The sequence below is a fragment of the Homo sapiens genome, chromosome 2, assembly GCF_000001405.40.
Source record: "Homo sapiens chromosome 2, GRCh38.p14 Primary Assembly".
Taxonomy (NCBI): Eukaryota; Metazoa; Chordata; class Mammalia; order Primates; family Hominidae; genus Homo; species Homo sapiens.
The window spans coordinates 31,455,022-31,480,701 of record NC_000002.12 but is presented as its reverse complement, the minus strand read 5'-3'; positions in this window follow the sequence as shown (position 1 = coordinate 31,480,701).

Genomic DNA, 25,680 nt, shown 5'->3' with positions numbered 1-25,680 from the left:
ACTGGTACAAAAAACGGCACATAGACCAGTGGAACAGAATAGAGAGACCAGAAATAAGGCTAGACACCTATGACCACCTGATCTTCGACAAAGCTGACAAAAACAAGCAATGGGGAAAAGACTCCCTATTCAATAAATGGTGCTGGGATAAGTGGCTAGCCAGATGCGGAAGATTGAAGCTGGACCTCTTTTTTACATCATACACAAAAATCAACTGAAGATGGATTAAAGATATAAATGTAAAACCCAAAACTATGAAAACTCTGGAAGACAACCTAGGCAATACCATCTTGGACATAAGAATGGGTAAACATCTCATGACAGAGCCATCAAATCTATCACAACAAAAGCAAAGATTGATGTGTGGGATCTAATTAAACTAAAGAGCTTCTGCATAGCAAAAGAAACTATAAGCAGAATAAACAAACATCCTACAGAATGGGATAAAATATTTGCAAACTATGCATCTGACAAAGGTCCAATATTCAATATCTGTAAGGAACTTAAATTTATAAGAGGAAAACAAACAACCCCATTAAAAAGTGGGCAAAGGATATGAGCAGACACTTTTCAAAAGAAGACAAACATGCAGCCAACAAGCATATGAAAAAAATACTAACATCACTAGTCATTAGAGATTTGCAAATCAAAACCACAATGAGATACCATCTCGCACCAGTCAGAATGGCTATTACCAAAAAGTAAAAACAAAACAAAACATATACTGGCCAGGTTGCAGAGAAAAGGCAACACTTATACACTTGCTGGGAGTGTAAATTAGTTCAACCATTGTGGAAAGCAGTATAGCAATTCCTCAAAGAGCCAAAAGCAGAACTAGTATTCGACTCAGCAATCCCATTACTGGGTACATATTCAGAGGAATAAATCATTCTACATGCACATGAATGTATATTGCAGCACTATTTACAGTAACAAAGACATAGAATCATCTAAATGCCCACCAATGACAGACTGGATACAGATAATGTGGTACATATACACCATGGAATACTCTGCACCATAAAAAAATGAAATCATGTCTTTTCTGGGAACATGGGTGGAGCTAAAGGCCATTATTCTTAGCAAACTAATGCAGGAAGAGAAAACCAAATACTGCATGTTTTCACTTACAAGTGGGAGCTAAATGATGAGGACCCATGAACACAAAGAAGGGAACAACAGACACTGGGATCTAATTGAGAGTGAAGGATGGCAGGAGGAAGATGAGTAGAAAAGATAACTATTGGGTACTGAGCTTAATACCTGGTTGATGAAATAATCTGTACCACAAACCCCCATGACATGAAATTACCTATATAACAAACGTTCACATGTACCTAAAATAAAAGGCTTTTAAATAAAGAGATATGCAAGAATTTCTTTCAAGAATCACTAAGAATTGACAAGAAAGGATATCATTGATAACACTATCTTTAAAGAAATAAAGCTTCTGTTGAAAAAAGAATACTGTAGAGAAGGTAAATGTAAGCCATAGTCTGAAAGGACCTATTTGCAATACATATGTCCAAAACTCCTACAAAATGATAATTCCAAAATGGCAAAGAACTTGAATAGGCAATTCATGGAATAGGAATACTGAATGTACAATTATTATGGGATGAAAGGCTCAATCTAGCTGTTTTTTTTTGAGACGCATTTTGGGAGCAAAAATGGTAAATCATCAGACTTTGTTAAAGCTGTCGATGTGTATGTAGATACACAGCTTGTGTTATTCCCTATAGTTTTCTCTAAGTTAAAAATAGTTCATCATAAAAAGTAAATGAGAAAACTACATTTATGAGACAGTTTTTTAAAAAGACTGAGTTTCAAAGGCTCCGTAAATATACTGCAATCTAATAAAAGTACCGGGAAGGTGTTCTACTCATATCCATGAGCTACAAATACAGTCTGGTATAGTGGCAAAGGCTGAAGCTTTGAAGTAAGATATCAAAGATTCAAATCCTAACTGAGCTGCTTTTTAGCTGTGTAACTTTGAGCAAATAACTCAACATCATTAGATTTTATATTTGTAAAATAAGGATCACAATATTTGCCTTATGGTGTTGGGATGAGGGTCGAAGTGACATTGTAGACGCCAAGTGTGTGGTAGAGTTGGCACTTCATAACAGTAGGCTTGTGTTCATTAGTACAGGTTTTCCTTCCCTTCCTTTTATACCTCAGGACTTCTAGGTACTCTGTGCTTTTCTCCCCTACTTCAAAGCTAAAAGATGAGATCTGTCTGAATAAGAACAAAATTATAAACACAAGTAATTGTTTCTGAGAAAAGTGAAAGGCTACCAACATAATGAATATACATGTTTCACAGGATGAAATTTAACCAAAGCTTTTTTGTGTTATGGTATGAACACTTGCCCAGCCACAGGGGTCTCTGAAACCGGGAACTGAAACTGCAGACATACTGGATCTTCATAATTAGAGTGCCTTAAACCAGTTCTCAATCATGACAGCTAACTGTCAGAAAATAATTTTTAATACTATTGAAAATAATCTTCAGTGCAATTGTTTAGTCCCAAGTGTTCCCTACAGATATGAAAAAATGAAGTAACATATTCCTAAGGTATACAGCATTTTACTTACTTGAGTGCTTCAAGGACAGGCAAAACTGCCAGAGTGTCTTTCTCCATTGATCAGCTCAGAAATCCGTCTATACAAACAGTTATTCGTCCTTCCAACCAATCAAAAGGGAAGGCAGAAGTTCAAGGAGAACCTACTATCCATCAGGTACTACATCAAATGCATTTTATATACGATGTCTCAGACAGAGTATTATATGCTAGGTGCTATGCCAAGTATTAAGAATACTGAGGTCAATGTAACTTGGCCTCTGAGTCAGAGGTGTTGATAGAGCAACTGGGGCATTATTATAAGAAGATAAGTGACTTAAAAAAAAAGGCACAACACAAAAAATAAGAGGCACAAAGAAAACACTACAGGAATCAGAGAAAAGAGATGTCAAAACCAGCAGGCAGCATTAGGAAACAAAGAATGAAGTGTGTGAGCTCTGAACTGGTTACAATTTGACCATGCAGAGCCTAGCATACCAGGTGGAGGAAAACATTAAGCAAAAGCATGAAAAGATTCAAAGCTCAGGCTGGGAGGGAATTATCCTAAAATCCGAATTGATGGCATTGGAATCATGGGCCCATAACTTTTACTGAAGGACTTAATTGTAGTTCCCATAGGGTCCTTCCACCTTCAGTAGCAAACCACCCCAGAACAGCGTGTCTCTTATGCTCTTAGACCATAAGAAATTCTAGCTTTGATCAGATGAAATTAAATGCCTAAAACATAACCAAAGTGTCCATATTGTGAGTTCATTCCTGTCTTACAGTTTGATATCCAAGGCCCCTGGTTGGACAGTTAGGAGCACCTAAGAGTTCTTCAAACTTGAAAAGACTAGGCAACTTAGAGATAGCTTGCTTACAGAATGACCTAGAGCCAGCAAGAGATAGAGTTATAAATGCTGGAGCCATTAGGGTTTCACTTCTTCCCCTCCTACTGTTCCAGTAACCTGCACCACTCCATCCCCTTCCTCATCACTGTGATGGCATCAGCATCAAGATACCCACAGGATCTTTATCTTCAAACCCTGTTATCTATTGGCTTTTTCCTCTCAAAATAAAAATATGGTTCCCATTAAAGAACAAAAACAATCAAACTCTTTCCCCGGTGCCAAATCCTTGCTATTTTTGTCATTACTCATAAATTCCTCACAGTCAAGATTTATGAAAGAATTCTACATTTCCTTTTCCAATTTCCTCTTTTCTAAATCACTATTTAGCCCAATGTGTCCTGGATTCCACCCCATTGCTCTACTGAAATGGCTGTTGCTGTATTAGGTGTCTATTGCTATGTAACTAATTACCTCTAATACTTAGCAATTTACAATAACAAACATTTTCTGGGGATCAGAAATTTGGGAGAGACTCAGCTGGGTGGTGCTGGCTCAGGGTTTCTCACAAGCTTGCAATAAAGCTGCCAGTTGGAACTACAACCATCTCAAAGTTCAAGTGGGGCTAGAGAACCACTTCGTCTGGAAAACCATGTTCCCTCACCTGATCACTCCTCCTTAACCCCTTCTTCTATTTTGGTGTCCCATTTTTCTCTCTCTTGGTTTGCCTTCTACTTCTTGGACTATTAATTCTCAGTCTCCACTTCTCTTCCTATTTCCCTCCCAAATATTGGTGTGACCCCCCAGGAAAATGTCCTTGAGTTACTCATTTTCTCTCTAAAACTTGGTGGCCCCAAGGCGAATTCATACTCCCTTTTTGATGTTTTGTGATCCTGTGTTGACCATGTCAGTGACTGGTATGGGACCACAGCTGCTCCCCAACTTTGGGGTCTCAGGGGCATGCTTAGCTTTTTTGTTATTCTCACAGACTGTGTAGTAAGGTGTGCCTTAGAGTTAACATGCTGATTTTTTAAATGTTGCAGAATTATTCATTACATATACCAAAAATATAGATACATGTTGTGATAGTATAGAAAGTGTGGACTTTACATTTCTCCAAATCAGCCTCTAAGTACAGGAAAACAAAGTCAAGTTCCCCGTGATTGAAGACTGGTTCCTTTTAGTATCTCTGGTAGCTCTCTGTGTCCCCTGCTGTTGTTAATTACCAAAGTGGAAAATAAGCTGTCTGATTAGTTTGTACTTACACAGTGTTTAGAAAGAGAGCTTAGTTAGAAAATATTAGTTCAAGGACCATGGAAAAACCCCATGGGTGCTCAATTATTGAGTCACCCACATATGCACAGTGATTTTTGCTCTCTTGGTCCAGCTCATTTGTTTGAGTCAGATGAGTTGTTGCTGAATAAAGCTCTTCAGGTCATTAGTTTTGATAGGAACTATGTGTCACTGTTCTACACTACAGACTTATTCTAGTGGGAGTGCAGTCAAGCCCTGAGAAAACTGAGCAGTCATTCATCTTTCTTGGAGATTCATCACGTTCCTGAGCTGTGCCTGCAGGGAAGAAATGGTGCCAGGCTTTAGAAACATTGATTATGGTTTGGCAGTCTCAGCCTTTCCTATAACAGGGACCCCAAGGCTACACAATCTGAGCCTGAACAAAACAGAAAACTGTGTTTTTGAAAACCCCAAACAAAAAAGTACTATATTTTTAAATCAGGGAATGAATAACATGTAGGAATAGATTATAAAAGAAGAAAACTGCTATTAAAGGGTAGATGATCTGTTTAATCTCTCATTTCCCTTATAACATTTTATAGGTGTAATCAGGATTCCACCTTGATAAAACTAGGATGCAAATCACCCCAGCAACCATGTCTGCTTGCAACTTTCTGGTTGTAGTTACAATCATATTTTCTAGATACAAAGGTCTCCAGGAACCTAATATCTTCAGGTCTTCATTCCCTTACCAAAGTTTACCTACTGCTCCCCAGTTTCCTATCATAAAATGAGGAGCACATTTTAAGAATAGATTTCTTTTAAAAGGTCCACATATAGTATTTTTTTCTCTTCTCCACTGTACTAAGCCATATTACAGAAATAAATATATGGTGTGAGCCAAATACATTTCTATTTCAACAAAATAGAGTTTCTCTGCAGGCACTGAAATTTAAGTATCTTATCTAATGAAATCAGCTCCACACTGAATTCCCCTCTCTGAGCCACCGATTTTAGAGATCTCATTTCTTTTAGCAACAGAAGAAATTGGTCACCTTATATTAACTTAGGCTGGACAGGTAGGGGAATACCAACTAGGTCTCCTCAACTCAAGAGAAGCCAAAGAATCAAGCTGGCCTCAAATAGCACAGTTTGCTGCTTTAACCTGAGAGTCTCCATTCACATCATTAAAAGTAAGGTTTGAGAGTCTCTAAACAACTTGGGCATGTACTTCAATTTTCACTTTATTTGGACAAGGTCTCCTTTGTGTGAATGTACACAAAGTTGACTCTGAAGAAATGGGGAATAAAATAAGAAGAAAGAAAAAGTAAATAAATATTAGGGGAAGGGAGTAGGGAAGGAAACAAGAAAGTATTTATGGAGAACTGACTATAATCACATATTTGTATATCTTATCATATTTCATGCCATAAAGTTTGAGAATTATGACCAATTCAGGGGTCTGTTGAGAAACTGGTGCAAGGGAGGTGTGGGGTTCAAAGGCTAAGAAGATGAAAGGCTAAGAAATTTCTGTTTAAAAGTCTGATAATCAAATCTGGGGCCCAAGGAGTTCTGCAAACCTCCTGAAGGCCAAGGCTTATGCTTTGATAATTTTGAAGAGTTTAGAAGCCTTGTTTTTTTGTTCCTTGCTTTAGCCAGATGTCAATGGTGAGTGATGGAGAAGGCAATATGTTCTATACAGTAAGGAGGGGGAGTGGAAAGATACCAGACATGACCCGACTTTTGTTTTGAAAGAATGCCTTTCCTTGTCATGTGGACAATAGAAAACCAGGGCTCAAATGTAAAACTAAGGAAATCAGCCAGAGAGCTAGGGCTGTGGTAGTTGAGGCAGGGTGGTGGCAAGTACAAGGGTGGTAGTGATGGAGAGCATAAAAAGTGGTTAGGTTTAGATTATGTTTTAAGGTAGAGCTAATATTATTGCTGATGGGTTGGGTGTTATATGTGAGAAAAAGAGAGAAGTCAAAGATTATGTCAAGACTTTTTTTGGCCTGAGCAATTGATTGAAAGACTATCAATTTACTGTTATGGAGGAATATCAGAGGAGGGAATCTTTTGAAAAAGTAGAAGAGAAACAAGTTCAGTCTGAAGTAGAATAACTTTGATATAGTTATTTGAGTAAAACATTTGGGAAGACAGTTGGATCTACAAGTCTTAGAGATACTATATACGAGTTGGATATCATGAGCAGAGGTAAATATACAGAAATGTATGGCATTGAAATCCATGAAATTGGGTGATATCTCTATGGGTATGAGTGTAGAGAGAGAAGAGAAGAGGTTCATGGACCCAGGCCACTCTAGCTTTTGTGTTAAGAATTGCTCCTCCTGTACCCTGTATCTTATTCATCAACAAATCCCTCTGCTAACCACCTCCTCAGCTATCACCCGCTTCCAGCCACCACGACCATTTACCTTGATGATTGCAGTAAGCTTCTAACTGCTCTGACCCTTGGCCCCTTTACAGCCCATTCTTAGCATAAAACCCATAGTGGTTCTTTAAAAATGTAAGTCAGATCACATCACTGTTGTTAAAACCTCCAATGTCTTCCCTTGTCACTCAGCTTAAAAGAAAAGAAATCCTTACAATGGCTTATAAGTAGAGTGGTTATGTCTTGACTGGTCTGGGATAATTTGTTTTATGCCTGTTGTCCCAGTATAAGTATTAGTAGTACCACCTCCTTCATTCTCTTTCTCAAAATGTTTTGGTTTGTATGGCAAGTTATATTGTCACTCAAGTTACAAGGTCTTTCGTGGTCTGGTCCCCCAACTATCTCTCTGATTTAATCTCTTACTACTATTCCTCATCCATTCCATTCCAGGTACACTAGTTTGAGTCTTCTGGATTTCTTAAACTAATAAGGCTGATTCCACCTCAGTGGTTTGCAACTGCTAGCCCCTCTGCTGGCAATGCTCTAGTTTTGTGCCTTGCTCAGCTTGCTCCTTTGTTCTTCAGGTTTCTGCTCAAATGTAATGTTTTTGGGAAAGCTTCTGTGCCAGACACTCCCTGTTGGTGCTCAGATGCATGGCTGCCCTTCTATGTTCTCTCCTGTGTTGCAGGGGCTGCAAGTCAGATTCTGTTGCCAGTAGACTTGCAGCAACATTCCGCCAAGGGAGACACTCATGCAAGATTACAAGCAAGGAGAAAGAAGCTACCCCATTTTTGGCAGTGATGGCGTCTCCAGCAGAGTCACTCGTGGTGGCCATGGAGGTGGCTCCAGAATGCCATGGGCTGTGATCTCACTTATGATAGCACTGACTGTTGGCTCCCATGCACCTTGGTGGCATTAATAGAGGTAATAGTTTCCTGTAGAGAGAGCACAGCAGCATGGAGAGAGAGAGAAGCCTGGACTCTAGTGAGTGTGGATTCCAGGGGCCTTTGAATGGCTGTGCAGACTCCTGTGGAGATGGAACTCAGACCAGCACAGTCTCCTGTAAGAAAGAGTGAGTTGTGAAGCAGATTTCTGTGGCCTCCTTCAGGGGTTATAGACTAAATTGTGTCCCCCAAAGTTCACATATTGAGGTGTAACCCCTGCTATGTCAGAATGTGACTGTATTTGGAGACAGAGTCTTTAAAGAGGTGATTAAGTTAAAACGAGGTCACTAGAGTGGGCCCTACCTCAGTATGACTGATGTCTTTATAAGAAGAGAAAATTTGGACACAGATGTATACAGAAGGAAGACCAAGAGAAGATACAAGGAAAAGATGGCTCTGATGGTTAATTTCATGTGTCACCTTGACTGGATCATGGGGTGCCCAGATATTTGGTTAAATATTATTCTAGGTGTGTCTGCAAAGGTGTTTCTGGATGAAATTAACATTTGAATCAGTAGACTGAGTAAAGCAGATTTCCCTGCCCAGTGTAGGTGGCCTTATGCAATCCACTGAAGGCCTGAGTAGAGCAAAAGGTGGAGTAAAGGAGAATCCACTCTTGGCTTGACTGTCTTTGAGCCGGGACATCAGTCTTCTCCTGCCTTCAGACATAGACGTGGGCTGGAACTAACACAGTTGCATAAGTTCTCGGACCTTTGGACTTGGACTGGAACAAGACCGTCTGCTTTTCTGGGTCTCTAGCTTGCTGACTGAAGATCTTAGGGCTTCTCAGCCTCCACAGCCACATGAGCCTATTCTTTGTAATCTCTGTTTTTCTCTCTCTATTAAACTTTTCATCCATCCCATTGGTTCTGTTTCCCTGGAGAACTCAGACTGATACAAAGACCATCTACAAGTCAAGGAGACCGACCTTAGGAGAAACCAACCGTTGATCTCAGACTTCTGGCTATCAGGACTGTGAGAAAATAAATTTCTATTGTTTAAGCCACCCAGTCTGTAGAGCTTTGTTATGGCAGCCTTAGAAAACCAACACAGGTGGCAGTGGCTTCTTGCAGCACTTGATCTCTGGGTGGTGGTACTTCTCTTTCCTTCTTTCCATTTTGTTTCTCTAGTCTTTTTTTACACTTTAAAATAATATCCATGGTATTAAATTCCTTTGTGCTTAAAATACCTAAGATGGTTTTCTTTTCCTGCCTAAACCCTGACTGATACAGTACTAGCTACCAAGGATGATAGCACATAATGTTGGATCAAACTGCATTTATTGAAATGGATTCCATTGCTAGAACTTTTGAAATCTATGCATTATTTTGAGTGGCTGAAGTGGTTACTGTCAGTTTGTTTGTTTAGTTGACTGAAACCTGGAGTTGACTGTAGCCTAATTCCATGAAGTTAAGGTGCCATAACTTTTCTGGTACAATGGAAAGGAAAGAATCCAAAGGCTTAGGGAGAAGAATGTTGAAATAAATTTCTCAAGTGAAATTTCCTTCATTGTGTCTGCAAGAAGGCCTAGAGTATTAAGAAATGCAGGCCGGGTGCAGTGGCTCACACCTGTAATCCCAGCACTTTGGGAGGCCGAGGCAGGTGGATCACCTGAGGCCAGGAGTTTGAGACCAGCCTGGCCAACATGGAGAAACTCCATCTCTACTAAAAATACAAAAATTAGCTGAGTGTGGTGGTGTGTACCTGTAATCCCCACTACTCAGGAGCCTAAGGCAGTATAATCATTTGAACCCAGGAGGCAGAAGTTGCAGTGAGCCAAGATAGCACCACTGCACTCCAGCCTGGGCAACAGAGCAAGACTCTGTCCAAAAAAAAAAAAAAAAAAGGAAAGAAAAAGAAATGCATTGACAAGAGAAGCATAATCATTCCATAAAGCTCTGTGGTGTCTGTCTCCTGCCAGCTGCAAGTGAAAGTGATAGATGCCACTATTATGGGACACCCCAGAGTGGCTGAGACCATGTGGCAGCACTTAAGTACCAGGGACACTGGGTCAGTTACTGAAATGGTTAGAATGGTGGAGCAGGAATCAGAATGCTGTGACCCAATGTGACCCAATGTGGCTATTTGGTCAGTGTCTTTAGGATTTGTAGATGGGCAACCAGTCGGAGTAGTACTTACAATCAGAAATATTTGCGACCTGGACAACAGGAATTGATATTGTCAGTTTGTCACCACAGTAGAGTTGTGTCCTATCACCCTAATCTCTGGCAAGCTAATTCAAAAACTTAAAGTCTTTTGAGTGAAGGAGAGATGGAACCTCCTTGAGGAGGTGCTCGCGACACCACCACAGTTCTATAGTGTAAATATTCCTGCAAGATTCCCCCGAAGGACCTGCATCGACATATCGGGATGACAATGACTTGAAGAAAGGGAAATACAATATCTTTAGTAATTGTAGATAATACATTTGAATTAATGTTAATCTCTGGTGACCTGAAATAATATCCATGCATCCATGATCTGCAAGAGTGGGGGCTTGTGGAGGTGGAAGACAGACGGAGTTTTGGTCTAAATCCGTCTCACGGTGGGTCTACAAAGTCTTCGAGTCTTCCTCAGCATTACTTCCAACGTTTTTGAATGCATGATTGGAATTGATCTACGGGTAACTGGCAGAATTATTATGTTGAGTCCCTGATTTATGGACTGAGGACTACTAAGGTAGAAAGATTCAAGCAAAAGTCCCTGGGATGGTAAACCAAAGTGAATGTCATACACCTGATGAACTACAAGAGTCAGTGCCCCAGCCAAAGACTTGAAAGATGCAGGGATGGTGATTCCTCCCATATCCCCTCTTATTGTGCCTATTGACCTGGCCAGAAGACAGATGGGTCTTGCAGAATGACTGTGCGTTTTTAAAAACTTAATCAGATATGATGACAATTGCAGCAGCCATCTAGTGGGAGCAGGTGCTGCTGGAGACTGAGCCAGCTGTTCATCCAGCTTTCTACTCATTTATGGTATGCTGCTCTGGATGTCCACTGCTATAACCTGGGCTTCAGATAATATCCAGCTACTAATGAGCAGCAGTGACTGAATGACATTGGGTTCTGTGGTCAGGCATTCAGTCTCAACTAGAGCTCAGCAGTAAGCCAGAAGCTGTTTCTCAAAGGATTATTTGAAGAGGATCACATGGCTTTGCTTTAAAACCTTAGAGGTTTGTACTACTACTAGGGTTAGCCAGAGATTCCATACAGTGTCCTTATCTGCCACAAACACAGTATGCATCACTAAATCTTCCAGATTATATCCAAGTGGCTGGACAGCTTTCACTAATTGGATTAATTGCAGAGTCTTCTCTTGCTTTCAACCTAATTCACATCTGGACTTACAGGTTTCTTGGTAAATGAGTTAGAGTTACACACTTAAATGTGGTACATGTGGGGCATGACCTTACATTTCAATTTGCCAACAAAACAACAACAACAAACAAAGCCAAAAAAATCCCCCAAAATAACCCAACAATTTTCCCATGCCAGTCGTTAATTATAAAAGATAAAAATCTCCGCTGGGCACGGTGGCCAGCACTTTGGGAGGCCTAGACGGGCGGATCATGAGGTCAGGAGATCGAGATCCACCTGGCCAATATGGTGAAACCCCGTCTCTACTAAAAATACAAAAAATTAGCCGGGCGTGGTGGCAGGCGCCTGTAGTCCCAGCTACTCCGGAGGCTGAGGCAGGAGAGTGGCGTGAACCCAAGAGGCAGAGCTTGCAGTGAGCCACGATGGCGCCACTGCACTCCGGTCTGGGCAACAGAGCGAGACCCCATCTAAAAAAAAAAAAGAAAAAAGAAAAATCTCAACCAACTGAGCGCCTTAATGTTTTATTCCTCTGGACACACACTTTCACTCTTATAGAGACCTTCATCATTGGATGCCCTGGAAAAAACAACTGACTCTTTCATAGAGCTTCAATATGTTACTCTCTTGGACAAATACTGTGAATTTTTATAGATATTTAATATTTGTTGGGCAAATATGTAACCTCTTTCGAATGTATGTTATCAGTTCCCATTTCAAATAGCGTGTTTGGAAAGTATCTAATATTTATGGTGGCAAAGTCTAATCTCACCATTCTGCTGAGTATCAAGAGGTTTCATCTCTCCTTCTAGGGCTTCCTCCCTTGATGACTGCAAGGAAATTCTCAGAGAATTCTTGGATTATATTTGTACAGGAATGAAATGTTGATGTACTGAGGGTGTAGTAGTTGTATTAGTCTGTTTTCATGCTGCTGATAAAGACATACCCGAGACTGGGCAATTTACAAAAGAAAGAAGTTTAATGGACTCACAGTTCATGTGGCTGGGGAGGCCTCACAATCATGGAAGAAGGTGAAAGTCACATCTCACATGGCAGCGGACAAGAGAAGAGAGCTTGTGCAGGGAAACTCCCCTTTATAAAACCATCAAATTTCTTGAGACTTATTCACTATCATGAAAACAACATGGGAAAGACTCACCCCCATGATTCAATTACCTCCCACCAGGTCCCTCCCATTACACGTGGGAATTGGGGGCGCTACAATTCAAGATGAGATTTGGGTGGGGACACAGCCAAACTGTATCAGTAGTCAATGCCCAAAGCTGGTAAACACGTATCATCTTCCTTCCTTTAAAGCAGTTTTTGTAAATAAGAGTCTTATTCTTAAATTTCTACAATGACCTCCACTTCCCATTTCCAAATGCTTTTCAAAGCTTAGAGGATGGAAAATCTGTTAAAGAATTAAATGTAAGGATCCAATTTATTGGTACGTTAGTTAAAGTCATACATTGGCCCCCACTCTATTGCCATTTTTCCCACAGACAGAAGAAAGGGTGCAGATATGGAGAACAGAGAAGGGTTACAATGAAAGGAGAGAAGAAATCCTGGAGTGGTGGGAATTTGTAGGAAGGGAAAGTGTTGGAGAAAGGGTAGGGAGAAAAGCTCCTGAAACTTAAGCCATCCTGATCTTTTTCCACCTGCAGAGCAGGGCATTAGAGAAGAAAATGACTGGTTTGAAGGAAGCACACCACCTACCCTTGACAGGAAATCAGACCCAGGCTGGGTGTGTGTGGGCTGTTCTAATTGCTGTCTTACCACAGCAAATTGCTTAGTGACGTGAAACCTGTTTTGCTGGCTTTTGTTCTCACTTCCCAACACTGGATCATGAGCCTCCTGAAAAGCACTCACCCAGCCCTGCAGGTTTCTTGCCTGTCCTTTCTGTGACTCTAATTTCTACCTGTTTCTTCTTTTCCTCATCTGATTTCACTCACTGCTTTCTGTGGCTGGAGCCCCCTTGGCCTAAGAAGGGCTTTAAAGAGCCGCAGCCATGGCTTCTGGGGCCTTTGGACCTGTCCCCTCCATCTCTGTCACCCCTGCTGCAGCTGAGTTACATTAATCCCCATATACCAAAGCCAGCACCATGCAGAGACTTATGGGTGCCTGGAGCTAAAGAAACAATGTGCACCCCTATCAACATGTTCTCATCTGTCTTTTAATGATATTATATTTTAGAATACTAAAGAAGTTGAAAAATATTGAAAAATTGATTGGCAAATATATTACAACTTACAACATTATTGCAAATTTAAATATTTTATTTGTATTCCATAAAAGAATCTATTTATTATAATTTGACTTTCCTACCTCTGATGGAAGCAAAAACATCAATAGTATCTCTAAAATTTACTTCCGGAAAAATATCAATCATTAAAAAATAAGGCTTGGCATGGCCCTTGTTGGATCCTGTCTTTATTTTTAAATTCTGATATTTTGTTTATCCTGGATTTTTTTCCATTGATTTTGTTTTTCAAAAAAAATTGCATTAAAATAATTTTTGTCTTAATTACTGAATTTTGGGGGCACTCCCTCAAATTTTAGGCCCAAGGCAAGTGTTTCTCCTACCTCATCCTTATCCTGGCACTGACAAAGCTGTGCTTTTGTTCTATCTTCTTTTTATTTTTTATTTTTAGTTACAGGGTCTTGCTTTGTTTTCCAGGCTGGTCTTGAACTCCTGGTCTCAAGCAATCCTCCCAAAGTAGCTGGGATTACAGTCAGTGCTGTGTTCTACATCAGAGGGGGCAGAGGGCTTGCCTGCTGATGTTAGCAGAACACCTGGATGGATTACTCCAACAGGCAGATAAAACACATGCTTGAGGCACCTGCAAAGTAGACACACCAAAACCCCTGGTATGATGGGGGTGGTGAGGAAGGCTGGGGGCTGATTTAATTTATAGGGATTTGTGTGGGAAGGGCCATTGGGTCAGCAAACATTTTCTGCAAAGGGCCAGAGAGCAAATTTTTTTGACTTTGCTGCCCATACAGTGGGAGATATTCAACTCTGTCTTTGTATCACTAAAGAATGCATAGACAATACATTAATTAATGAGCATGGCTCTATATTCCAATAAAATTTTATTTACGAAAACAGAAGGAGGTCAAGATTTGGTTTGCAGGCTGTGGTTTTCTGACCCTTGTCCTAGAATATCCTAAATCAAACAAAATTTATCATCACAAAAGTTAATTTTCTTCCAAAAACTTACCTCTGACCTACCTCAAAAAACCCACTAGCACAATTCTCTGACCATATCAAGATCCACTGACTCCACCACTTTTCTGCTTTTCATCCTCCCATCTCCCCTCATGGGCTCACTTCCCTCCTTATCTTACATGGTTCCATGAACTGTCAATAACACTGTAAATATAATAGTTCCTTGCTCACACTGGTAATTCTCTTGCTATGTCCCCCTCACCCCATTCACTTATCTGGCAAACCCTCAGCCCTGGGTAAATCTGACATTTGGCTTTCTCCGAGTTTTTACACTATCCTGCAGACTGATCTTGCTCTAAATTGATGTCCACACATTTCAAATGGGCCCCATTCACTCTATTTCATTTCCCTCATCAATTGCTCTCCTACTCTGAGTCAACTTGTCCTCATCTCCTCCCCTTGGCAAACCTCTACCCCTAACCCTCTGCCTACTCTCCACTGATGATATCACCTCTTATTTGAGTGAGAAAACAGAAGCAATACAAAGAGAACTGCCTCATCTTATCACCACCAGATCCACCAACCAATCTGCAGGAGCCTACTTTCTGCCCCAGGGTGAGCAGCCCCTGCTTCCATACAAGGATCTCTCCTGTTAGAAACTCTCCTTGCCCCTACACCAATTCTAGTTTATGTTCCATGTCTGTGGCTTCCTTAAAAGCAACTCTCCTAGAAAGGCTTGTCTATGCTTTTTTTCTCCACATCTTCACTTCCCATTCTGTCCTCCACCACCTCCATTCCATCTTGCTATCATCAAGAGTCAATTCTCTTTCCTTAACTTACTCAACTCTCAACAACACTTCTTTTTTCTCAAAACCATGTCTTCACTTTGATTTTGGAATACCACACTCTGTTTTTTCTCTTACCTCTCTGGCTACTGCTTGTTAGTTTCTTTTTATGCTCCTGCTATTAAATCCTGGAGTCCCCCAGAATTCAATCTTAAGATTTCTTTTTTTTTCATTTTCCAAGTGATCTCAAATAATGGCATGATTTTAAATATCATCTGTATGCTGGTAACTCCTAAATTTATATCTCAAGTCTTGACATCTTCCCTTACTTCCAGACTTGTAAATCTGTCTACTCAAAAGGTCAGCTTGAATATTTAATAAACATCATAAATTTAACAGGTCCAGGGCAGAACTTGATCAACCACCATTTTCCAAACCCCTTCATCTCCCATTAAATGATATTGCCATTTATCTGGTTGTTCAGGTCAAATTTTTGGAGGCATTTTAACTCTTCTTTCTTTCATACCTCACTTACAATTATTCAACTATGTCTTCAAAATATATTCCAAATCTTTTTATTCACCCTAATCTCCACTGTTAACCATCTTATTCTGTGCCACTGTGGTTGTTTTCAAATTTGAAAATTATTTGCTTCTCTCCCTTCAAAATTTGGATTTTAATTCTCATGCTCTTGAATGTGAGTTATACTTAGTGATTCATTTCTAATGGATGCAATGTGGTGGAAGAGAGGGCTGTGAAATCGCTTGTTCTGGGGAAAACCAGCTGCCATGTCAGAACGATGTGCAGGTGCCCTTTGGAGAAATCCAAGTGGTGAGGAACTGAGACTTTCTGTCAACAGCCATGTGAGTGACCCATCCTGGAAGTGGATCCATCAGCCCAAGTCAAGCCTTCAGATAATGTCAGCCCTGGCTGACACCTTGGCTGTAGCTTCATGAGAAACCCTGAACCAGAATTACTCAGCTAAGTGACTTCTGGAATATAAATATGTGAGATAATAAATGTTTATTATTTTAAGCTTTAAATTTTGGGGATAATTTGTTATTTAACAATAGATAAATAATATACTTTATTAGTTTCCTAGGGTTGCCATAACAAATTACTACAAACTGGGTGGGTTAAAACAACAGAAATTTGTTCTCAAACAGTTCTGGAGGATAGATGTCTGAAAAAAAGATGTTGGTAGGGCTACATTCTCTCTCTGAAAGATCTAGGGAGGACTTCCTCCCTGCTTCTTCCAGCTTCGGTGGGCCTAAACATCCCTTGGTTGTAGCTCCATTACATAATTGTCTGCTCCAACCTTCACATGGCTTTCTCCACTATCTCTTTGTCTTCCATCTCTTATAAGGACACTTGTCATTAGATTTAGGGCCCATCAGGATAATCCAGGATTACCTCACCTTGAGATCCTTAACTTGATTACATCTGTAAAGACTTAATTTCCAAATAAAGTCACAGTCACAAGTTCCAGGAGTTAGGATGTAGACATATCATTGGGACGACCACCTTTAAACCCACTGCATACACCATCATCATTTCTTATCAGGGTGGCATCTTAACAGGTCTCTGTATTTCTATTTTTACACACACACACACACACACACACACACACACACACACACACCCCACATATGGTTTTTTCTGTATACAGCAACCTGAATGGTCTTTTAACACATAGTCATATCATGACACTCCCCTCTAATGAATTCTTAACACGTTTAGAATAAAATTCAAACTCCTTCCATGGCTAATAGGGTAGGTAGATTTGGCCTAGCCTATCTCTGACCTAATTTGTTCAGATACTACTGATGTCATCTATGGTCATAGGTGACTCTCAGTCAGAGAAGAACAAGGGCCAAGAAAGTTATCATGACAATGGGAGGCCAGTCATTCACAGGAGGAGTATGTGAATAACACACATCCAGAAGCTTAAGCTGAAATCAGTATGTAAGTTTCACAGAGGCTGGAAGGAATATACAGGGAATGGAATGACTGAAAACACTCTCAGGGATTGAGACTCAGAAGGATGGGAAAGAGTAGATATCAGATAGAGAAGTCAGAGATACACCTGTGGAGTTCAGCATAAATGAGTGAATCCATGGAGGAGGCATAGCATTGTTATAACGACTGGTATTAGTATATTCATTCCTCTTTCCTCCTCTGCATTCCTGGATCCTGCACATGTGTAGTGATACCAGGAAGATGTAAGACTCCACAGAGGATTGTAACTGGACTTCAGCAGTTACTCCAGGTTCACAATATAAGGACTTTTGAAAAAATGAATTGCCCAGGTATGTGAATATTAGAGTGGTAGAGTAAAATAAATATGAGTTAGACATCTATTTTCAAATCCCAATTCTTCCACTTAGTAAGTATGGACTTGTTTAAGTTACCTGCACTCTTTGACTCTCATCTTGCAGAATTCTTCTGCAAAATGGGGATAATAATACCTGTGCTGAATGCTCTGGATTGGGCCTCTCAGCCTCCATTTCAGCAGTCTTCTCATTGGAGAGGTTGAAAAACTAAAAACTACATTTCCCAGATTTCTCTGTGGCAGAGTTTAGGATGTGAATTCAGTTATATCAATCATACAATTTGTCACATATAATATTTAGAAAGTTAGAGGTGAAATGTAAGTAAAATTTTCCTGCAAGAAGGTTGTAGAAACCTGTGACACTCCTACGGATTGCTCTAAAGTTCCAGTCCCCAGCTTCGTGGAGGTAGAAGAAGTGGTAGTGTCCACACTACTTCTTCTCATTTTTACAATTTTTTTATTTTTAATTTTTGTGGCTACATAGTAGGTGTATATACTTATGGAGCAAATGTGATGTTGTGATATAGGCAGACAATGTTTAATAACCACATCATGGAAAATAGGGTATCCATCCCCTCACACATTTATTCTTTGTGTTACAAACAATCCATTTATACTCTTTTAGTTATTTAAAAATGTACAATTAAATTGTTATTGACTATAGTCACCCTGTTGTGCTATCAAATACGAGTTCTTATTTATTCTATTTTTTATACCCATTAAACATCCCTATCTCCCCCCACCCCGCCCAGCAGCCCACTACTTTGTCTAGCCTCTGGTAACCATCCTTCTAGTCTTTATCTCCATGAGTTCAATTGTTTTGATTTTTAGATATCAAAAGTAAGTGAGTACATGTGATGTTTGTCTTTCTATGCATGGCTTATTTCCCTTAACATAATGGCTTCCTGTTCTATCCATGTTGTGGCAAATGACAGAATCTCATTCTTCTTACAGCTGAATAGTAAGTACTCCATTGTGTATATTTACCACATTTTCTTTATTCATTCATCTGTTGATGCACACTTAGGTTGCTTCCAAATCTTGGCTATTGTAAACAGTGCTGCAACAAACATAGGAGTGCAGCTATCTGTTTGATAGAATGATTTCCTTTCTTTTGAGTTTTTACCCAGCAGTGGGATAGCTGAATCACATGGTAGCTCAATTTTTAGCTTTTTGAGGAGCCTCCAAACTGTTCTCCATAGTGGTTGTACTAATTTACATTCCCACCAGCAGTGTATAGGGTTCACTTTTCTTCACATCCTTGCCAGCATTTGTTATTGCCTGTCTTTTGGATATAAGCCATTTCAACTGGGGACAGATTATATCTCACTGTATTTTTGATTTCCATTTTTCTGATGATCAGTGATGTTGAGCACATTTTCATATGCCTATTTGCCATTTGTATGTATTCTTTTGAGAAATGTCTATTCAAATCTTTTGCCCATCTTTTGATTGGATTATTAGGCTATTTACTGTAGAGTTACTTGAGCTCCTTATATATTCTGGTTATTAATCTCTTGTCAGATGGGTAGTTTGCAAATATTTTCTCGCATTCTGTGGGTTGTCTCCTCACTTTGTTGATTGTATCCTTTGCTGTTCAGAAGCTTTTTAATCTGATGTGATTCCATTTGTTCATTTTTGCTTTGGTTGCCTGTACTCATGAGGTATTGCTCAAGATACTTTTGCCAAGACTAATGTCTTAGAGATTTTCCCCAATGTTTTCTTGTACTAGTTTCACCATTTAAGGTCTTAGATTTAAGTCTTTAGTCCATTTTGATTTTATTTTTGTATATGGTGAGAGATAGGGGTCTAAGTTTCATTCTTCTGCATATGGATATCCAATTTTCTCAGTGCCATTTATTGAAGAGACTATCTTTTCCCCAGCATGTATTCTAGGTACCTTTGTACCAAGTTCACTGTAGGTGTGTGAATTTGTTTCTGTGTTCTCTATTCTGTTCCATTGATCTATGAGTCTGTGTTTATGCCAGTACCATGCTCTTTTTGTTACTATAGCTCTGTAGTATATTTTTTAGTTAGGTAATGTAAGTTTTCCAGTTTTATTCTTTTTGTTTAGGATACTTTTGGTTATTCTGGGTCTTTTGTGGCTCTATGTAAATTTTAGAATTGTTTGTTTGTGTTTATATGAAGAACGTCATTGGTATTTTGTAAGGGATTTGCACTTAATCCGTAGATTGCTTTGGGTAGTGTGGACATTTTAACAATATTGATTCTTCCAATGTGTGAACATGGAATATCTTTCCATTTTTTGTGTCTTCCTTAATTTATTTCATTTGTGTTTTTTATTCATTGTTGGTATCTTTCACTTCTTTGGTTAATTCTAGGTATTTAATTTTATGTGTGGCTATCACAAATTGGATTACTTTTAAAATTTATTTTTCAGATTGTTCACTATTGGGATATAGAAACGCTACTGATTTTTGTATGTTGATTTTGTATCCTGCAACTTTACTGAATTTGTTTATCAGTTCTAACAATTTTTCGATGGAGTCTTTAGGTATTTCCAAATATAAGGTTATATCATCTGCAAACAAGGATAATTTGACTTCTTCCTTTTCAATTTGGATGTCCTACATTTCTTTTTTTCTAATGGCTCTAGCTAGGACTTTCAGTAGTATGTTGAATAACAGTGGTGAAAGTGGGCATTCTTGTTGTGTTCTAGATCTTAGAGGAAAGGCTTTCAGTTTTTCCCTATTCAGTATGATACTAGTGGTAAGTCTGTCATTGATGGCTTTTATTACGGTGAGGTATGTTTCTTCTATGCCCAGTTTTTCAAGTGAATTTATCATGAAGGGATGTTGAATTTTATGGAATGCTTTTTCTGCATCAATTGAAATGATCATATGGTTTTTGTCCTTCATTCTGTTGATATGATATATCACATTGATTAATTTGCATATGTTGAACCATCCTTGCATCTGTGGGATAAATGCCACTTGGTCATGATGAATGATCTTTTTAATATATTCTTGAATTCAGTTTGCTAGTATTTTGTTGAGAATTTTTACATCAATAGTCATTGGGGATATGGCCTGTAGATTTCTTTTTATGGTGTATCTTTGTCTGGTTTTTGTATTAGGGTAATACTGCCCTCGTATAATAAGTTTGGAAGTATTCCCTACTTATCTATTTTTTGAAATAGTTTGAGTAGAATTGGTATTAGTTCTTCTTTAATTGTTTGGTAGAATTCAGCAGTGAAGCCATTAGATCCCAGGCTTTTCTTTACTGGGAGACTTTTTGTTATGGCTTCTATCTTGTTACTTGTTATTGGTATGTTTAGGTTTTGGATTTCCTCATGCTTGAAAAAACTCAGCCATGAAGAAATTCAACCATGGTAGGTAGGTTGTGTAAGCTGTGTAGGAATTTGTCCATTTCTTCTGGACTTTCCAATTTATTGGCATATAATTGCTCATAGTAGACGGTAGTGGTCCTTTGAATTTCTGTGAAATCAGTTGTAATGTCTCCTTTTTCTTTTCTGATTTTGGATGTTCTCTCTTTTTTTCTTTATTAGTCTGGCTAAATGTTTGTCAATTTTGTTTAACTTTTCAAAAAAATCAACTTTTTTTTCATTGATCTTTTGTATCATTTCCTTCATTTCAATTTCACTTATTTCTGCTCTAATCTTTATTATTAATATTTATTTTCTTCTATTTTTTGATTTGGTTTGCTCTTGCTTTTCTAGCTCTTTAAGGTGTATCATTCTATTGTTTATCTGAAGTTTGTCTTCTTTTTTGAAGTAGGCACTTATAACTATAAACTTCCCTCTTAGTACTGCTTTTGCTGTATCTCACAGGCTTTGGTATGTTGTGTTTCCTCTATGATTTGTTTCAAGAAAATTTTCAATTTTCTTTTCAACTTCTTCATTGACCCCACTGGTCATTCAGGAGCACATTGTTGAATTTCCATGTATTTGTATAGTTTCCAAAACTCCTCCTGTTGTTGATTTCTCCTCTTGTTGTTGCATTGTGGTCAGTGAAAATGCTTGATATTATTTCAATTTTGTTGAATGTTTTGACCTGTTTTGTGACCCAACACTCTCAAGGATTTGTCCTTGAGGATGATCCATGTGCTGAGGAAAAGAATGTGTATTTTTTCAGACATTGGATAAAATGTTCCATAAATATCTATTAGGTCCATTTGGTCTATAGTGCAGATTAAGTCCAGTGTTTCTTTGTTGGTTTTCTGTCTGGAAGGGCTTTCCAATGCTGAAAGTGGAGTGTTGCAGTCTTTAGTTATTATTGTATTGAGGCCTGTCTTGCTCTCTAGCTCTAATAATATTTGCTTTATGTATCTGGGTGATCCAGTGTTGGGTGCACATATATTTAAAATTGTTATATCCTCTTGCTGAATTGACTGCTTTATTATTGATAGTGACAGGAGGCAGTCAAATGCCTAGGCAGATAAGAGCAGGTCCTCAGTGAATCCTCACCTCCAAGCTGAAGACAGTTTAAAGCCTGAAAGCCAAGCTACAAGTTAAATCCATGGACTGATTGAGAACGTGTCTTTCCTTTTGGCATGCTTTCCTCTGATCCACACCCTTCACCTATTTTACATATACCTACCCTTTCCTAATTGGTTTTCTACACTGTTGTGCCCACCTTTGAGTGGTGTCTTTGCTTTAAATTTTCTTGCATGCTCACAAACCAATCAGCATACACTCCCTGTTGTGAGTCTATAAAAAGCCCCAGACCCAGCCACATTGAGAGGCAAAAAACCCACCTGACTGCAGGGGTGGGGTACCTCCCCCAACATCCCCTCTCCACTGAGAGCTGTTCCATCACTCAATAAAATTCTTCTTCACCCATCAGCATGACTTCATTCTTGGATGCTGGGCAGGAGCTCAAGACCCACCTAGTGTGGGTACCCAGAAAGGCTGTCACACTGGCCCTTTGCCCTTGCCAGAGGGCAGCTGCTCCATGCAATTGATCCAGGGGCCAACTGAGCTGCTAACATGTCACCGTCCATTGGGCTGTGGACGGCAGAACTAAAAGAGCTAATTAGCACACTAACACCCACTATGGGGCTTCAAAATCGTGAGCACCCATGTCTGGATGCCACTGTATTGCCCTCAAGGTGACATGCCTGGTCTGGCTGTGGGACCCACGTGGAGCTTGCTCCTGTGTCAGTGCTCAGAGTGGCTGGCCGGATCCTGCCTTGCTCGCTCATGTGCTCCCTTCTGCAAGAAGGTGAGCATGGTAGGCCAAGTAGATAAGGCACCCCTGCTGTGAGTCTGGCAAAGGGGCCAAGAAAAATCCTGTGTCATTTTGGAGGCTTGCCCAGGATCCCTGAAGGGTGAGTGAATGCGAACCAAGATGCTTCACTTTTTCTGAGGCTTCTTGTCCTCAGACTTTTTTCTGAAGGCAGATGAAGCACTGAACCTCTGATTAGCTAGTTAAGAATGAATGGTACAACTACACAGGACAAGATGCTGGAGGGGACCCTTCTGTCACTCTTGGGAGCTGGAAATATCAGTCTTACTCCTTTCTGTGATATTTTCCTTCTTGTTTTGGGGGCTGTCATGGTACCTATCTTGTCTTTTACAATGTTAAGAGTGTTGTTGCAAACTACAGAGATATTACTGACTAGAATGGGTGCTTGGCCCAGTCATCAAAAATGTAATTCAGAACAATGTGTTTTCTGTCTGTTCTTAGAGGCAAAAAGGGTACAGTGTTTAAGAGTTTTTTTTTCCTATAGAAGAAACTCATTTGCATACAGTGAGAGGCTTTTTCCCACAAGCACCTACCCCACCCCCACACTTAGGTTGTGTTTTTCTTTTTCTCTACCATGTCAGAAGTTAACATAGCCCTGCAAATATGGGGAGCTTTTCTATGTGAGAGTTTTTCTTTTTTCCTTTTGAAAGGCATCTTTTTTCCTTTTGAAGGGCCAGGTCCCCCTTTCTCTCCCTTGTTTGAGGAGGACCCAGTTCTACAGCTTTACCTTAGCATTCAGCTTATGATAAAGAGGCAGCAAAGGAGCAGCCCCACTGGCTGCTGTCTGCAGTTTAGCAAGGGCCACCTGGGACTTAATTTAGTGAGTCCATGCACCCTCCTGAGGCAGTTATTTGTCCCAAACTCAATTCCAAGCTTCAGGTTAAAGCCCTAGAAAGGAAAACTGGATCTGAGGGATCCAGAGGCAGATGGCAATGGAATTCAAGGGACACAGCACAGGTGAGCATGACTAATTCCTGCCAACGAGGCCCCCCACCATTTCATGGATGGAGGTCATGCTAGCATCCATGGCATAGATGAGGTTACCAACAGCAGGGAGAATAGAAAATGTGTAGGTGAGTGCAGATAATTCTTACTCTCTAGGACGCCCTATTCCACATGGGTGAAAGTCACATTGGCACCCATGGGTAGCACCCTGTGGAGTTTGCTGGGACTCAGGGATACAAAGACAGAAGAAAGAAGACACTTTTTCTTTCTCTCCCTCATATGCCCTGGGTATTTGCTTGGGGAAAAAAGGCACTAAAGGACACCGTTTCCCCTCTTTCCAGATGGGTAACCAACCATTTTCAGCTACTCTCCATACAACAGGACACTCCTCTCGGTTGCATCCCCCAAACTGGGAAAAGTTAATTTTCCCATATCTTAAACTTTTTGGCTTAAAAATGAGCCAGGAAAAAATTACAGGCCTAACTGAGCAAATCTATTTAGGAGGGACAAGTTTTTTAGTATGCAAATAACCTCTTTGTCTGCTCCCCCTTTACAAGACTCCAGAGTCACAAAAGGGCTCCACAGCTAAGGGAAGGGAGCCCAGAAGCCTGACATACTGGCAAAAGGGTAAAAGGTTTTTGTTTTTTTTTTTTTTTTTAAACTAGCCAGACTTCTGGCCTTCCTCTCCCTGTGCAAACTGGTAGAATGAATGATAAAAATCACTGTTTATATCCTCTGTAAACTTTTGATTAATGGGAAAAAAGGATGTGTGAGGCTAGACTTAACCTGTAACAAATCTGTTGTACTTTGTGCTAAGAATTTATCTTTCTATGTCTTTCTATTAGAAAGAGGGGTACCTTAGGATAGAATGCAGGTCTAGGACCCCATAATCCCACTTTTGAAACTATCCCAGCAAGCTGGTCAGTAACAAACTTTGCTACAGGTCTCTGAAGGGAAAAAAACTGAATGAGGTCTCCATCTTTTTTTATGTCCTTGGGAGCTTGACCATGTAACCATGTGGCAGTACTTTCTTTTGGTGCCTGCCATTTTACAATTGTGGCTCAGGTTCAATCCTGGCTTAGGGAATGAGTACTTTCTGGCTGATATCTGTGTTGCTTTTACAATTTGCTGATTCTCTTTGCCTCCCTTAGCTTCCAGCTTCCGTTCTTAAATCTTCCTTTCTCTGAACTACCTTTAAAGATTCTAGATTTTGTAAAAACTGCTTACCAGCTCTTTGAAAATACCTTGTACACTCACTGTTAAATCATACCTTAGTTAAGGTTTGTTGGTTTCACCTGAGAGGTTACTTTTGGTAAAGTTCAAAAGCCAGAAATATTGGCCACTTGGTATGGCTAAAGTCAGGTAACAAGAGATTTAAAAGGATTTTCTTAAAGAGTGCTATGGTTAAAAGTCAGCTTAATTAAAAGTGGATAGCCATGCTATAGGTATATTTAAAAGGGTTTTATGTTTTTCTCTTCTTGGATCTTGTTTCACTGAAAAAGAGTTTTGTTCTTCTCAGCCAACTGCATTATTTTTCTCAATTTTGTCTTGCTACTCTTTATGCACGCATGAGAGGCCCTAAGATAACTTCTGATGGCCTGGGACTCCCTGGAAAAAGCAGAGGAGGCACCATTGACCCTGTTTTGGAAAAAAACTTCTGCTTTCCTCACGGATCCCCAAGAATTAAAAGTGACTAAATCCCTCTCAAAATATGTTTTTGTCTTTTAGCTATATCCGCTTATTAGGCCATAGAAACTGCATGTTTTCTTACCCTGTTTGTTGAAGGGCTCCACCCCGAGGCCAATAATCTAATTAGGAGATTGGCCAGTGAAAAATCTTACAACTACTGGATCTTCTGTCTGTCTGTGTAGTTATATATGTGTTATGTGTGTGATGTTTATATAAAAAAGAAGCTCTAATTAATTG